Raw genomic sequence first — 14230 nt, forward strand, 5'->3', positions numbered from 1 at the left:
GTCGCCCAGGCTGGAGTGCTGGGACCACAGATGCAACCCACTATGCCTGGCTAATTTTTTAAACTATTTGTAGAGATGGGGTCTCACTGCATTGCCCAGGCTGGTATTGAACTCCAGGGCTCAAGTGATCCACTGGCCTCAGCCTCCCAAAGTGTTAGGATTACAGGTGTGAGCCACGGTCCCCGCCTTTTTGTCTTTTTTTTTTTTTTTTTTTTTTTTTGAGATGGAGCCTCGCTCTGTCATCCAGGCTGGAGTGCAATGGTGCGATCTCGGCTCACTGCAACCTCCGCCTCCCGGGTTCAAGCAATTCTCCTGTCTCAGCCTCCCGAGTAGCTGGGACTACAGGTGCGTGCCACCACGCCCGGCTAATTTTTGTATTTTTAGTAGAGACGGGGTTTCACCATATTGGTCAGGCTGGTCTCGAACTCCTGACCTCAGGTGATCCACCCGCCTTGGCCTCCCAAAGTGCTGAGATTACAGATGTAAGCCACCGCACCCGGCCCTCTTTGTACGTTTTTTAATTGGGTTATTTGATTACTATTGATTCATTGATTCATAATTCAGACAAAGTCTACACATTATACTGGGTGATAGGAGGAACCTGTAGATTGAGAGACCTCAAACAAAAGCAAAAAATAAAGGGCCAAGCTCAGTGGTTCACGCCTGTAATCCCAGCACTTTGGCAAGCTGGTGTAGGAGGATCCCTTGAGCTTAGAAGTTTGAGACCAGCCTGGCCAAGTTGGCAAGACCCTTGTCTAAACAATAAAAAAAATGACTGCACATGTTTATCAGAAGACTTATTGATAATGTTGACTTTTACCCAAGCCCTGTGATCCTGGAAAACTAAGGCTTAAGAAATGCCTTCCCACTGTTTTGTGTTCTGGAACACAGCATATTGCAAAAAAACATCCTTCCCCAAGTGAGTTAGGTAAGACTGGTGTATGCCCCTCTGGTTCACCAATGACAAAGCCAGACACAGACTCCATATTCCAAATCTCCTCATGAAAGCTTTGAGGAACTTCTTGTCCCCACTGATCAGTTGGAACAAACTTTGGTTAAAACTTCTCTCCTTCCCCCAGCTTCCCGAACTTTGGCTTACCCTCAGCTTGAGCCAGCGCACATCTCCTCCTTAACAGCCTCTCCTGAGAATAGGCTGGCTTCAAGGTAAAGCATTATCTGATCTACTGTCCCATCATGCCACTCCTGATCATCCCACTTCCTCCCACCCAGTTCTGCCCTGTTTACTCCTCTGTATGAGAGAAGAACCCTTTTTGCCTAACCCTTGAGTCACTTGCAGATATTATGGTCAGAGGGTCCTCCCTGCTGCAATATTCTTCCTCCTTCTATTGCAATAGTTCCTTTCTTCCCTTGCAATAATCCTTTCAAATAAAATCTCTCCTGGCAGGGTGTGGTAACTCACACCTGTAATCTTAGCACGTCGGGAGGTTGAGGTCGGAGGATCACTTGAGCCCAAGAGAGCAAGGCTGCAGTGAGCCATGATTGTGCCATGCATTCGGTGGGCAGCAGAATGAGAATCTGTCTCAAAAAAAAAAAAAATTATAATGGCTGGGCGCAGTGGCTAATGCCTGTAATCCCAGCACTTTGGGAGGCTGAGGTGGGCGGATCACTTGAGGTCCAGAGTTCGAGACCAGCCTGGCCAACATGGTGAAACCCCGTCTCTACTAAAAATACAAAAATTAGCCACTCATGGTGGTATGCGCCTGTAATCTCAGCTCCTCAGGGAAGCTGAGGCACGAGAATCGCTTGAACCCAGGAGGCGGAGGTTGCAGTGAGCTGAGATCACACCACTGCACACTCCATCCTGGGCAACAGAGCGAGACTCTGTCTCAAAAAAAAAAAAATTATAATAAAATCTCTCCTTACCAAGCCTGGATTTGTTTTTTATTTCACAGTATATATAAATATTCATAGCTACAGTCTTTTTAAGTGCAAAAAGCTGGCTTTTTGTACTAATAATCTCAGTTAAAGCCAGTCAGAAAACACAGAATTGTTTTATTTATGCAAAGTTCCAAAAATGCAAACTAAAAAATATTCTTAGGGCTACATAAATAAATAAGCTTTAAAATCAGGAAGAAAAGCAAATAAATGATTAACATAAAATCCAGGGTAGTTGTTACCTTTGGAGGGAAATGATAGATTTAGAAAGGGACTTCAAAGTTAATGGTAATAATGACCTATGAAACAATAGAGTTCATTCTGTTATTCTTTATACTTTACACATATTTATTAATATTATTTTGTTTTACTCAATGTTTAAAATGTAAAAATATTAAAAGTGAAAATAACTCATTTCAGAAAGCAATAGTTACCTTGTGATAGCAAATATACAGCTATATGATGAATTTTAAAAATTGGAAAACATGGCCAGGCATGGTGGCTCATGCTTCTAATCCCATCGCTTTGAGAGGCCGAGGCAGAAGGATTGCTTGAGGCCAGGAGTTGGAGACCAGCCTGGGCAACATAGTGAGACCCTGTCTCTACAAAAAATAATAAAAATAAAAAATAAGCCGGGCGCGGTGGCTCACACCTGTAATTCCAGCACTTTGGGAGGCCGAGGTGGGCGGATCACAAGGTCAGGAGATTGAGACCATCCTGGCTAACACGGTGAAACCCCATCTCTACTAAAAATACAAAAAAATTAGCTGGGCGTGGTGGCGGGCACCTGTAGTCCCAGCTACTCGGGAGGCTGAGGCAGGAGAATGGTGTGAACCCGGGAGGCGGAGCTTGCAGTGAGCCGAGATCGCGCCACTGCACTCCAGCCTGGGTGACAGAGCAAGACTCCGTCTCAAAATAAATAAATAAATAAATAAATTAAATAAATAAATAATAAATAAATAAATAAAAATACAAAAATAAAAATAAAAAAGTCTAATGAGTGAGAAATTGTAGATAGGACCATTATATCTAGGTTTAAACCCACATCATATCTGGATTTTATTTATTTTTTATTTTATTACATACTTTTTTTTTTTTTTTGTCACCCAGGCTGGAGTGCATGCAGTGATGCAATCTTGGCTCACTGCAACCTCTGCCTGCCGGGTTCAGGCCATTCTCCTGCCTCAGCCTCCTATCCTAAGTAACTGGGACTACAGGCAAGCACCACACCCAGCTAATTTTTGTATTTTTAGTAGAGACGGGGTTTCATCATGTTGACCAGGCTGATCTTGAACTCCTGGCCTCAAGTGATCCACCCAACTCATTATTACACACATATTTTTTAGCGATAGTGTCTCAGTCTGTCGCCTAGGCTAGAGTCCATTGGCGCAATCATAGCTCACTGCAGCCTTGAACTGCTGGCCTCAAGCCATCCCCCTGCCTCAGCCTCCCCAGTAGCTGGGATAACAGACTTGAAACACTGCACCTGGCTCACCCCTGACTTTTAAAGACACAAGTATAGTGTTTAAGAGCATGGGCCCTGAAGACAGATCATCTAAGCTCAAATCCTGATTCTGTCACTTATTAACTGTGTAACCTCGAGCACTTTACTTAATCTCTCTGTACCTCTACAGGAGAGTGAGAGATCACCTCCAACCCCCCTTAGCTCTTATGGGAATTCTTCTGCTGGATATAGAAACTAAGTTCACACATGGTAAATTAACAGGAGAAAATCATACATTATTATTATATAATTTTTTTTTTTTTTTCTGAGACAGAGTCTTGCTCTGTCGCCCAGGCAGATCTTGGCTCACTACAACCTCCGCCTCCTGGGTTCAAGTGATTCTCCTGCATCAGCCTCCTGAGTAGCTGGGATTACAGGCATGCGCCACCACGCCCGGCTAATTTTTGTATTTTTAGTAGAGATGGGGTTTCACCATGTTGGCCAGGCTGATCTCGAACTCCTGACCCTTAGATGATCCGCCCACCTCGGCCTCCCAAAGTGCTGGGATTACAGGCGTGAGCGACTGAGCCTGGCCTATTATTATTATTATTATTATTTTTTTTTTTTTTTTTTTTTGAGACAGAGCCTCACTCTGTTGCCTAGGCTGGAGTGCAATGGCACCATCTCGGCTCACTGCAACCTCCGCCTCCTGGGTTCAGGCGATTCTCCTGCCTCAGCTTCCCAAGTAGCTGGGATTACAGGAACCTGCCAACACGCCTGGCTAATTTTTGTATTTTTAGTAGAGACGGGGTTTCACCATGCTGGCCAGGCTGGTCTCGAACTCCAGACCTCAGGTGATCCTCCTGCCTCAGCCTCCCAAAGTGTTGGGATTACAGGCGTGAGCCCAGCCACAAGATGCTTTTATACTTTTTAGACAACAATAAATTTGAGAAGTCACAGGACAAGGGACATCTGGCTAGGGGCAGTAAATTTCTAGGTGAGTGATGAGGAGATATTTGAGGTGGAAGTGTAAAACTAGTGGAAGATAAGGGTTACTTTGAAAAGTATATTTATTCAGGTCCGTTGCAGCCCCGAGTTCCCAGTCTCTGGTAATCAGGGGTAATTTTTTGCCCTGGTATAGGGAGGGTATCCCTCACAGAGGAATCTTGATGGCTTGCTGCATGCAGGAAGAGGCAGGTCAGCTCACCCTTTCTGAAACTACAATTTCTCCAAGATTTTCAACCCAAAATGATCAAGATACCAGTTTGGCACATTGGCACATCCTTCACTCCTTGAGTTTCTTTGTCTATAAAATGGATGGAGGCCGGGCATAGTGGCTCATGCCTATAATCTCAGCACCTTGGGAGGTGGAGGTGGGTGGATCACCTGAGGTCAGGACTTTGAGACCAACCTGGCTAACATGGTGAAACCCCGCCTTTACTAAAAAATACATAAAAGGCCGAGCGCAGTGGCTCACGCCTGTAATCCCAGCACTTTGGGAGGGCGAGGCGGGCGGATCACCTGAGGTTGGGAGCTTGAGACCAGCCTGACCAAATGTAGAAACCCCGTCTCTACTAAAAATACACAATTAGCAGGGCGTGGTGGCGCATGCCTGTAATCCCAGCTACTTGGGAGGTTGGGCAGGAGAATCATTTGAATCTGGGAGGTGGAGGTTGCGGTGAGCTGAGATCGCGCCACTGAACTCCACCCTGGGCAAGAGAGTGAGACTCTGTCTCAAAAAAAAACGAAAAAATACAAAAAGCATTAGCTGGGTGTGGTGGCGCATGCCTGTAATCCCAGCTACTCGGGAAACTGAGGCACAAGAACCGCTTGAACCCAGGAGGTTGCAGTGAGCCGAGATCGCACCACAGCACTCCACCCTGGGCAACAGAATGAGACTGTGTCTCAAAAAGAAAGATAAAGCGGTTGGAGATAATGATAGTACTTCCAGCACAGAGTTGTGAGAGTGAAATACCATAATCCAGGAAATGTGTTTAGAGCACAGCTCTCAATAAATGTTACGTGGGCCGGGCGTGGTGGCTCACACCCGTAATCCCAGCACTTTGGGAGGCCAAGGCAGGCGGATCATGAGGTCAGGAGATCAAGACCATCCTGGCTAACATGGTGAAACCCTGTCTCTACTAAAAATACAAAAAATTGGCCGGGCGTGGTGGCGGGCGCCTGTAGTCCCAGCTACTCGGGAGGCTGAGGCAGGAGAATGGTGTGAACCCGGGAAGTGGAGCTTGCAGTGAGCTGAGATTGCACCACTGCACTCCAGCCTGGGCGAATGAGCAAGACTCCGTCTCAAAAAAAATAATAATAATAAAAATAAATAAATAAATAAATGTTAATGTGGTTATAGTTTAGTAGCTACCCAGAGTGAGCACCCACAGCCTGGGGTTTCTTCTGGCCATACCCTGCCAGGAAGAGGAGGTCTCCTTTGTTAACTCTGACTCCCCTGAGATCTTAGCATTGTCGCCTCCACCAGTTTCATTGGGATTTCCTTTCTTTGCTGTCTTGTTCTGTGAGGTGGTCCCTGTCATCTCTCCAGGCCCATTTCCTCCTACCCTGGGCCCCACACATCACTTGCAGTTAACTAAGCACCTCTTGCTCTCTGACATCTCTGTGCCTTTGCATATATCTGTTTGGAATGCCCATCCCTTGGGTTGCCTAGCAAAACCCTGTTCATTCTCTTTAGCTCAAACCAGTCACCACTTGGGTAAAGCATTTTTCCCACCTTCAGGCAGATTTAATCTCTCCTGTTGCCTGTTGTATGTACCCCTATCACAGCTCAGATCACTCTGCATTACAATTACTTACATGTCTTCCTCTGCCACAGACAAGATGTTTCATGAGAGTAAGAAATGTATCTTATTTATTCTGTGCCCCCTACCCCAGCATCTAGTACAGGGGTTGGTACAAATGGAGGTTGAGAGACATTGAGTGATAGAATGAATTAATGGATGGATAGTGGGTGTTGGCTTTTTGCCAGCATCACGGGTTCTAGGATATTTGAATGCCCCAAGGACAGGGTGGAGTTAATGCGGGACACAGCATGCGTCAGCTGTCTGACTACTTAATAGGCAGTCAACGATTTGGCTAATGAAGATAGAGATAATGATGGCAATAAAATGGTACTCTAGGCTGACCCAGAGCCACAGCCACTCTCCTGCTTTCCAGTGAGTCATCCCTGGCTGGGCCTGAGGACAGGAATCATGGCTCAGAGGTAGATGGTCAGTCAACAGTGGCTGAGCTGGTTCCAGACCGCTTGATCCTGGCCATGACTCACTCCAGCTTGTGCTGCTGACAAGAACCCTCCAGAACTTCACAGGTTTGAGTACAAGTCTCAGCACAGGCCAGGTGCGGTGGCTCATGCCTGTAATCCCAGCACTTTGGAAGGCCAAGGCAGGTGGATCACCTGAGGTCAGGAGTTTGAGACTAGCCTGGCCAACATCGTGAAACTCTGTCTCTACTAAAAATACAAAAATTAGCCAGGCGTGGTGGTGGGTGCCTGTAATCCCAGCTACTTGGGAGGCTGAAGCAACGGAATTGCTTGAACCCGGGAGGCGGAGGTTGCAGTGAGCCGAGATCGCGCCACTGCACTCCAGCCTGGGCAGCAAGAGTGAAACTCCATCTAAAAAAAAAAAAGAGTCTTAGCACAGACAGTGATCAGCCCAGACCTTAAGTTACATACGCCATCTGAGCCTGTTTCCTCCTCTTCCCTCACTGGCAATGAGACACAGATCCCAACCCAGGATGCTGATCATGGAGACATACTTCCCCACTTTTGGAAAGCCTACAGTCTCATGGAGAAAGCACGATTCCCCTTACCACATTGTACCGTAATTATCTCTTTAGTTTTGCCATATTTGTCTTTATGTTCTTTGCTCAAGGCAAGGAAATAGGGCACGGGGAATGACTCAAGAAACGCAGACAAGAAACAGAAGTGTAGCTCCCCAACCATGTGGATTGGTAGGGAAGAAATTTGAAAAGGATCAAGGTAGAGATTTTTCTTGTTGTTTTTTTATTTGTTTTGAGACAGGGTCTTGCTCTGTCACCCAGGCTGGAGTGCAGTGATGCTCCCATGCTCACTGCAGCCTCCAACTCCCAGCTCAAGTGATCCTCCCACTTCAGCCTCTCGAGTGGCTGGGACTACAGACATAAGCCACCATACCTAGCTTACTTTATTTTATTTTACTTTTATTTATTTATTTTTTGAGATGGAGTCTCACTTTGTCGCCCAGGCTGGAGTGCAGTGGTGCAATCTCGATTCACTGCAACCTCTGCCACCTGGGTTCAAGTGATTTTCGTGCCTCGGCCTCCCGAGTAGCTGGGAGCCACCGCACCTGGCTAATTTTTGTTTTAGTAGAGACGGTGTTTCACCATCTTGGCCAGGCTGGTCTTGAACTCCGACCTCGTGATCCGCCTGGCCTTATTTTTTAATTTTTTTGAGACAGAGTCTCACTCTGTCGCCCAAGCTGGAGTGCAGTGGTGCGATCTCGGCTCACTGCAACCTCCACCTCCCAGGTTCAACCGATTCTCCTGTCTCAGCCTCCCAAGTAGCTGCGATTACAGGTGAGTGCTGCCATGCCTGGCTAATTTTTGTATTTTTAGTAGAGACAGGGTTTCACCATGTTGGCCAGGCTCGTCTTGAACTCCTAACCTCAGGTGATCCGCCTGGCTTGGCCTCCAAAAGTGCTGGGATTACAGGTGTGAGCCACTGAGCCCGGCCCCTAGCTAATTTTATAATTTTTTGTAGAGGCAGGAGTCTCATTACATTGCCCAGGCTGATCTTGAACTCCTGGGCTCAAGCGATCCTATCACCTCAGCCTCCCAAAGTGCTGGGATGACAGGCATGAGCCATCAGTGGTGCCTGGCAAGGTAGAGTTAATAAGGGAAGCTGTTTGGATGATGGAAAAAATTAAATAAGTTGAGGGAAAAAGCCTAGGGTGGGGCATAGAGAGGAATGCTTCCTAAAGGTTGTTCAGGGCCGGAGAAGGAGAAGGGTAAGAGGTGGGAAGACCCAGCTTGAGGATTCAGAGAGATGTGGCAATTAACTAATAGAGGCAGAAACTGGTAGGGCATAAAAGATATAGAATGACCCTAAATCCCTGAATCTTCTGGATTTGGGTCCTATGTGGGAAACAGGGCTTCTGCTCTTGAAAGAGTGGTCTCATGTGTCTACAAGGTTACACGGGGTGGTATGTGCCAGAGGGATGGGGAGGGCAGGTCAGAGAGAGTCCTGGGGGCCTGAGGTCTGAGTTTGGGGCATCTGGTGGGAGGTGGGGGGATACAGGGCTTGTTCTGGGCCCTGAAGGATGCCTTTATTGGGGATTTGATTAGGTCCTGGTGGGGACAGTTGTTGAGCTGAGAGGAGGAGGGACATTGAAGTCACCAGGGGGAAAGAGGATGAATGGTTAGCTGGGGTCCCAAATGCCAGGCAGAGCAGTTTGGCCTGGGCTCACAGACTCCAAGAGGATCCTGAAGATGCACAGACACAGGTCTGCCTACTTAGGGGGCCACTTTTCCCTTTACTATGACGCAGGGAAGATGAACACACTCTGGCATGGGGGTGTCTCCCCACTGTGTGCCCCACCCTCAGGTGCAAGGGTGCGTGCTTCTGCTGTGTGACTGTGTGGGGGTCTGCAGTACATTGCTGAGTGACTGTATCTGGGCAGTGCTTTTCTGGGCTATAAGTGGGTGGTTGGAGAGTCTGTTTTATGCGTCTGTGTAGGTGTGCCTGAGTTGTACATCTTAGTATGTGTGTGTTGGGGGGTGTCCAAGTTGTGTTGTTTGTATTTGTGTGAGATCTCAGCTGTGTTTTTGTCTCTATCTGGTGTCTGACTTGTGAGTGAGAGGCTGGGTAAGGGACAGGGTTCCCCTTGCTCCTGGCACTGGGTCACCATAATGGGTACGAGGCCAATTAGCTATAGTCCTAACCTGGGGGGCTTAGAGAAAGGCCTGAATGATGACGCCTAGACTGTTATCCCCAAGTGAATGGCCTCTTATTGAGCAATCATTAACTTGGCCCCTGTGACAAGAATCCAAACTGTTATGGTGAAGAGGGTGGGGACTGGTCAGGGCAGGACTTACTGCGGGTGAAAGGGGGAGGCCGGAAAATCCTATAGGCATGTGTGTTGTTATCACTCCTTCCTGCCCACCCTTCAGGTCACTCACCCTGACCCATGGCAACTGGGTCAAAATATTTAACAAACAGTGAGGCACAGATATTGACCAGTCAGAATAGACACAAGTCATATTCTGAATGGAGCAGTCAGGGAGGTCATGGCTATGCCAAGAGTTGCCTCTTTAGTTGCTAGACAGTGGGAATGTCTGGGAGGAGAATCCCAGGAGAGGGGCTGGGGCAGAGGGGCAGGGAAGGAAACTGGGGAGGCCTCAGGGTGGTGGCTGTGAGCCAAGTGTCATGGAAGGGTTTCAGACTTAAACAACTGATGTAGTCAAATCCTGGTGGTCCAGCTAAACCTTGGTCTGCCTTGGCCTTCAAGCAGTTGCCAGGCCAGCCCTGGGTACCCTTGTCCCTTCCCTTTGGGAAAATAATGGACCACTCTCTTTTGTCATCTGCAGGAATGGGGGAAGTGAATGATCTCAAACTACAGAAATGGCAGTGAACTTGTCTGTTTCAATTCGGGAGTGGGCTGCTTCCTGATTGGCTGTGATTGGGCTTTCACTGTGGTAAGAGGGCGCCTGAAGTGGGTAGGAGCCAGGGGAGCGGTTAGTGAAGGGTTTGGGAATGGGAGAGCAACCTCCTTCCCCTGAGGATAAAGACAATGAGGTGATGGGATTGTGAACTGATACTGTTCCCTGGAAAATTAGCTCCAGCAACCCTGTGGATTTTTTCCCTTGGGCTACCTCTGATAGCAGCAGGGTGGGCCCTGGAGGTGAGACAGTCCCTTCCATATGCACAAATGACAGTATCAGGCTCCAAGTGTTTCATACCTTTTATTACAAAAATCAATAACTTAATTCAGTTCTGTATAAAGTCGATAGGACTTCTGGTCCAATAAGCAGCCTAAGCTTTCATTCTCATCCCAAGAAGGGACAGGAGTCTTGGCCCAGAGGCTGTGGGGACCACCAAAAGCCTCCCAGGCAGCTGGAACACTGTGTCCAAACCAAGGAAGTCCAATGTGGGGTGTGGCTGAGTGAAGAGCTGTTCCTAAGGAGCCAAGTGCTGTCTATACAGGCTTGCCCCCTCCAGGAGCATTGGGTCACCTCTGGGGATGGCCAGGCTGAATCAGCACTGCCAGCCTCTGCCCACCTGATCTCTGCCTGGGCTGGAACAGGTCACCTGAGCAAAAGCATGTCCCCAAGAAGGCCAGCGATGTCAACATCTCCAATGATAGGGCGAAAGAAGAGGTCCCCAAGCAGGCTGGTCGGAATGGACTTGAGGGTGGAGGCCGTGAGGAGGACACGGGTCAGGCGGCCTTGGGCTGCTGGGCACCAGGGTTCCAGGACTTCACACAGCACCCAGTGAGCCTCCTGCTGCAGGTGCCCAATGTGGGAGGCGGCTTGGAGGCCTGGCACATCTGTGGGCAGAGAGGGAGAAGAGGGCTGGTGAGCACCCTACTCCCAGCCACCAAAGGACAAGACTGGCCCAAGATCTGGGCCATCAGAGACACCCCTCTGCCTCCTTTGCTCGGCCTTTGAGGTCCCACTACTACCTCCTCCTTTAGAGGAGGTAATTTATTTATCAATTTTCAATGTATTCATCCATCCATTTATGAAGAGGCAGTGTGGAGTAATGGTTAAGAATTAGGCTTCCTGGGTATGAATCCCAGCACTGTCACTTATTAGCTGGGTGACCTTGGGCAAGTCACTTAATCTCTGGGCTTCAGTTTCTTTATCTGTAAAACGGGAATAATAATATTAATAGGACCTGTCTCCTAGGCTTTTATGAGATTTAAATGAACTAGTATATGTAAAACCCTTAGAATAGGGCCTAACATATGGTAAGTGTGATATGAGTATTTGCTACTATTATTACAATTAATTACTACGATTTATGCGTGCCACAAGGGACTCCTGGGGAACTCTCATCTCAGATGCTCTCCAGATTACAAACAGCACTGTCTCCATCTGCCGCTCTCCTGGCCGAATTCCATAAAGACTCCTTTCCTGTCCTCCCTACGCCCCTTTCAGTCATCTCTTCTATGTGATCTTTCTGAACCCACAGAGGAGTTTTAGCTCTAGAGCTTCACCATGCAGCCTTCCTTTGAGGATGTGACTGAGACACAGCTGTGTCTGCCCACCCCACCTCCCCACAGCCTTCTGTAAAGGTCAGAGCAAATTTCTCAGGCAGAGTGGCAAGGGCCAGTCTCTGGAGTGAATAGACCTGAGTTGCCATCCTGGTCTGTCCCTACCTGGCTGTGTTACCTTTAGCTAGTCACTTAGCTTCTCTGTGCCTCTTCTGTGAGATGGCTATTTGATGAAAATGAGGACTGGCCAAGCACGGTGGCTCACGCCTGTAATCCCAGCACTTTGGGAGGCCAAGGTGGGTGGATCACCTGAGGGGTTAGGAGTTCAAGACCAGCTTGATCAACATGGTGAAAGCCCATCTCTACTAAAAAGTACAAAAATTAGCCGGGAGTGGTGGCGGCCATCTGTAATCCCAGCTACTCGGGAGGCTGAGGCAGAGAAAATTGCTTGAACCCAGGAGGCAGAGGTTGCAGTGAGCCAAGATCGCACCACTGCACTCCAGACTGGGTGACAGAGTGAGACTCTGTCTCAGAAAAATAAAAAGAAAATGAGGACCCAATGAGATAACAGATATCAAACCCTTAGAAGCTACCTTCCCTGGCTGGCCCCTGCTTCAGCCTTGCCCCCCACCCAGGAGTGTCTGGGAGCTCACCGGGGTTGAAGAGGATGGTCCCTTTCAGGCAGGCATATTCCTTGGGGCTAAGCTCCAGGCTCCAGAAGGACTCCAGACAGCATTGAAGCCACTGCACCGCAGCCAGGGAGGGCTGGGGTCTGTCTGGCAGTTGGCCACTGCCTCCACTGCTGCTGGGCTCCTCCAGCAGAATCTTCTTGAGTATGCTGGGCACCGGGGCCTCAGCCACCTCAAAGGTCACAGCATCTTGGGCCAACCCAAGCAGGAAGAGGGGGCCCCAGCAACCCTGCAGCAGCCGCCGCTGGTCCTGGGGAGGCAGCTGCCAGAAGGATGGCAGGTTCCTGAGGAAGGCCACTGTCTTGGCCAGAACATCCAAGGCCTCCCGGCAGGTGCGATGAGGTGCACATAGCTGGACGGGCCGGTGCTGCCTACATAGGCAGCGGCTACGGGGTCGGGGGACAGCCTTGAGGCTGGAGCTCAGAAGTGCGTAGAGAATGGCGGGGCGGCTTGCAGCTCCCTGGCATGGGCAGGCCCCTGGTTGGCTGGTGCTCATGGTTAGGGATCTGCTCTCACTTCCAGCTCTCTGGCTCTGTGTTCTGCGCTGTGGGTGCTATTTATATTCCCAGTGAGTGGAACGGGGGGAATGGCCCAACAACCTTGACTCCAGAAGTCATGTTCATTGAAAAAAACACACAGACATTGCCCCTGGCAGGAATGGTGGGGAAGTGGTGGGGGAGGGGGCATTGGGAACCCCACGTGGCACTGATATCACCTCAGTCAATGAAGTGGCCGGTGCAGGGCACAGGGCCACCTGCCGCTCACTCAGCTGCCCCTTATCAGATGACTCAAGTGGATAAACAAGGTCATTAACTCAGGCTGTACCAGGGCACCAAGGCCCCAGGTGCACAATCAGCAGGTGTCCCCATTGGTGCCCGCTCTTGTGTGCACAAAAGACTAGGGCTTTTGCTAAGCCAGGAAGCCAGCCCCAGAGCTGGGTGGGCCTTGAATGCAAGGCCCAACCTGGAAGTGCCTTATCACTAGCTTGTTTGCCTAACCTTGGGGCCCTGCTTCTGTTGTCAGCCAGAAGCAGGCTACAGGGAAGGGAGCCAGGACCCTGGGGGCTGGGAGGACTTTGCCCACTGTCCAATCTAGGAGGCCTCCTCCTCTGATTCCAGTTCTGGGCCCCCTGCAGGAATAAGGTCCTTCAGAATCCTTATCCCCAGCCTGATTCCTACCACTCCTGAAAGGCCAGGTCTGCTGAGAAGAACTCACAGAATTATAATAAAAGATAGTTGCCAGCCGGGCACGGTGGCTCATGCCTGTAATCCCAGCACTTTGGGAGGCTGAGGAAGGGGGATCATTTGAGGTCAGGAGTTCAAGACCAGCCTGGCCAACATGGCAAAATCCCGTCTCTACTAAAAATACAAAAATTAGCCGGGCATGGTGGCATGTGCCTGTAGTCCCAGCTACTCTAGAGGCTAAGGCAAAAGAATCACTCGAAACTGGGAGGCAGAGGTTACAGTGAGCTGAGATCATGCCACTGCTCTCCAGCCTGGGCAACAGAGCAAGATCCTGTCTCAAAAAAATATATATGTATATGTATATGTATATGTATATGTATATGTATATTTATATGTATATGTGTATATATATATACACATACATACATACATATATATATATATATATGTATATATATGGTTGCCATTCTCTAAGCACTTATTATGTGTCAGGCACTTCCCACTCTAATATTGGCAGCCTCTTCCTAAGGCTAGATTCTTACTTTATGAGACTAAAAAAGCTAAAGTGACTTGCCCAAGGTCATCCCACCAGGAAGACAAAGCCCAGATCTTGCCTGACTCCAAAGTCCTTGTTTGTTTCCCTGGACCCACTGGCCCAATTGCACAGCCAGAGCCTGAGATTCTCAGAGCTTGTGGCTAGCTGCCCCCACCTTGCTGCTGCCTGCTTTGCAGACGTTGCCCACTTGTGATCTGGGCAGAAGTGTTGCTCTGCTGCCACGTGGCTCCTCTGTCCCGGGCATCTTT

The 14230-nt window shown here is 48.9% G+C and overlaps 2 protein-coding genes across 6 annotated transcripts in view, besides 2 other annotated features; one reads left to right on the forward strand and one right to left on the reverse strand.

Moving 5' to 3' along the window:
- NUDC (nuclear distribution C, dynein complex regulator) overlaps window positions 1-14230 on the forward strand; it is a 46711-nt gene that overhangs the window by 1042 nt on the left and 31439 nt on the right. For 2 of the 4 annotated variants that reach the window (XM_047439143.1, XM_024452486.2), the window contains exons 2-3: window positions 1080-1164; window positions 9926-10033. In XM_047439143.1, the coding sequence (XP_047295099.1) occupies window positions 9941-10033 (93 nt within the window). In that variant the 5' untranslated portion in view covers window positions 1080-1164; window positions 9926-9940. The remainder of the gene's footprint in view (window positions 1-1079; window positions 1165-9925; window positions 10034-14230) is intronic. The other 2 variants (XM_047439206.1, XM_047439200.1) reach the window with 1 other exon arrangement.
- Window positions 4420-4920: an enhancer, noted in NCBI's record as "H3K27ac hESC enhancer chr1:27232113-27232613 (GRCh37/hg19 assembly coordinates)". NCBI's record gives its function as "activates a minimal SCP1, AML or CMV promoter by ChIP-STARR-seq in primed H9 embryonic stem cells {active_cell/tissue: H9 hESC(primed)}" and the evidence as "EXISTENCE:reporter gene assay evidence [ECO:0000049][PMID:30033119]".
- Window positions 4958-5459: an enhancer, noted in NCBI's record as "H3K27ac hESC enhancer chr1:27232651-27233152 (GRCh37/hg19 assembly coordinates)". NCBI's record gives its function as "activates a minimal SCP1, AML or CMV promoter by ChIP-STARR-seq in naive and primed H9 embryonic stem cells {active_cell/tissue: H9 hESC(naive and primed)}" and the evidence as "EXISTENCE:reporter gene assay evidence [ECO:0000049][PMID:30033119]".
- Window positions 10287-12773, reverse strand: NR0B2 (nuclear receptor subfamily 0 group B member 2). 2 transcript variants are annotated; one of them, NM_021969.3, is made up of 2 exons: window positions 12207-12773; window positions 10287-10884 (listed from the first exon to the last, which is right to left on the reverse strand). In NM_021969.3, exons 1-2 carry the CDS (start codon window positions 12736-12738, stop codon window positions 10643-10645), a joined length of 774 nt encoding a protein of 257 aa, NP_068804.1. In that variant the 5' UTR covers window positions 12739-12773; the 3' UTR covers window positions 10287-10642. The 2 variants fall into 2 exon arrangements, with proteins under 2 accessions (NP_068804.1, XP_011540599.1); XM_011542297.4 differs by having other exon boundaries at window positions 10287-11202.

This window comes from Homo sapiens, chromosome 1 (genome assembly GCF_000001405.40).
Source record: "Homo sapiens chromosome 1, GRCh38.p14 Primary Assembly".
NCBI lineage: Eukaryota > Metazoa > Chordata > Mammalia > Primates > Hominidae > Homo > Homo sapiens.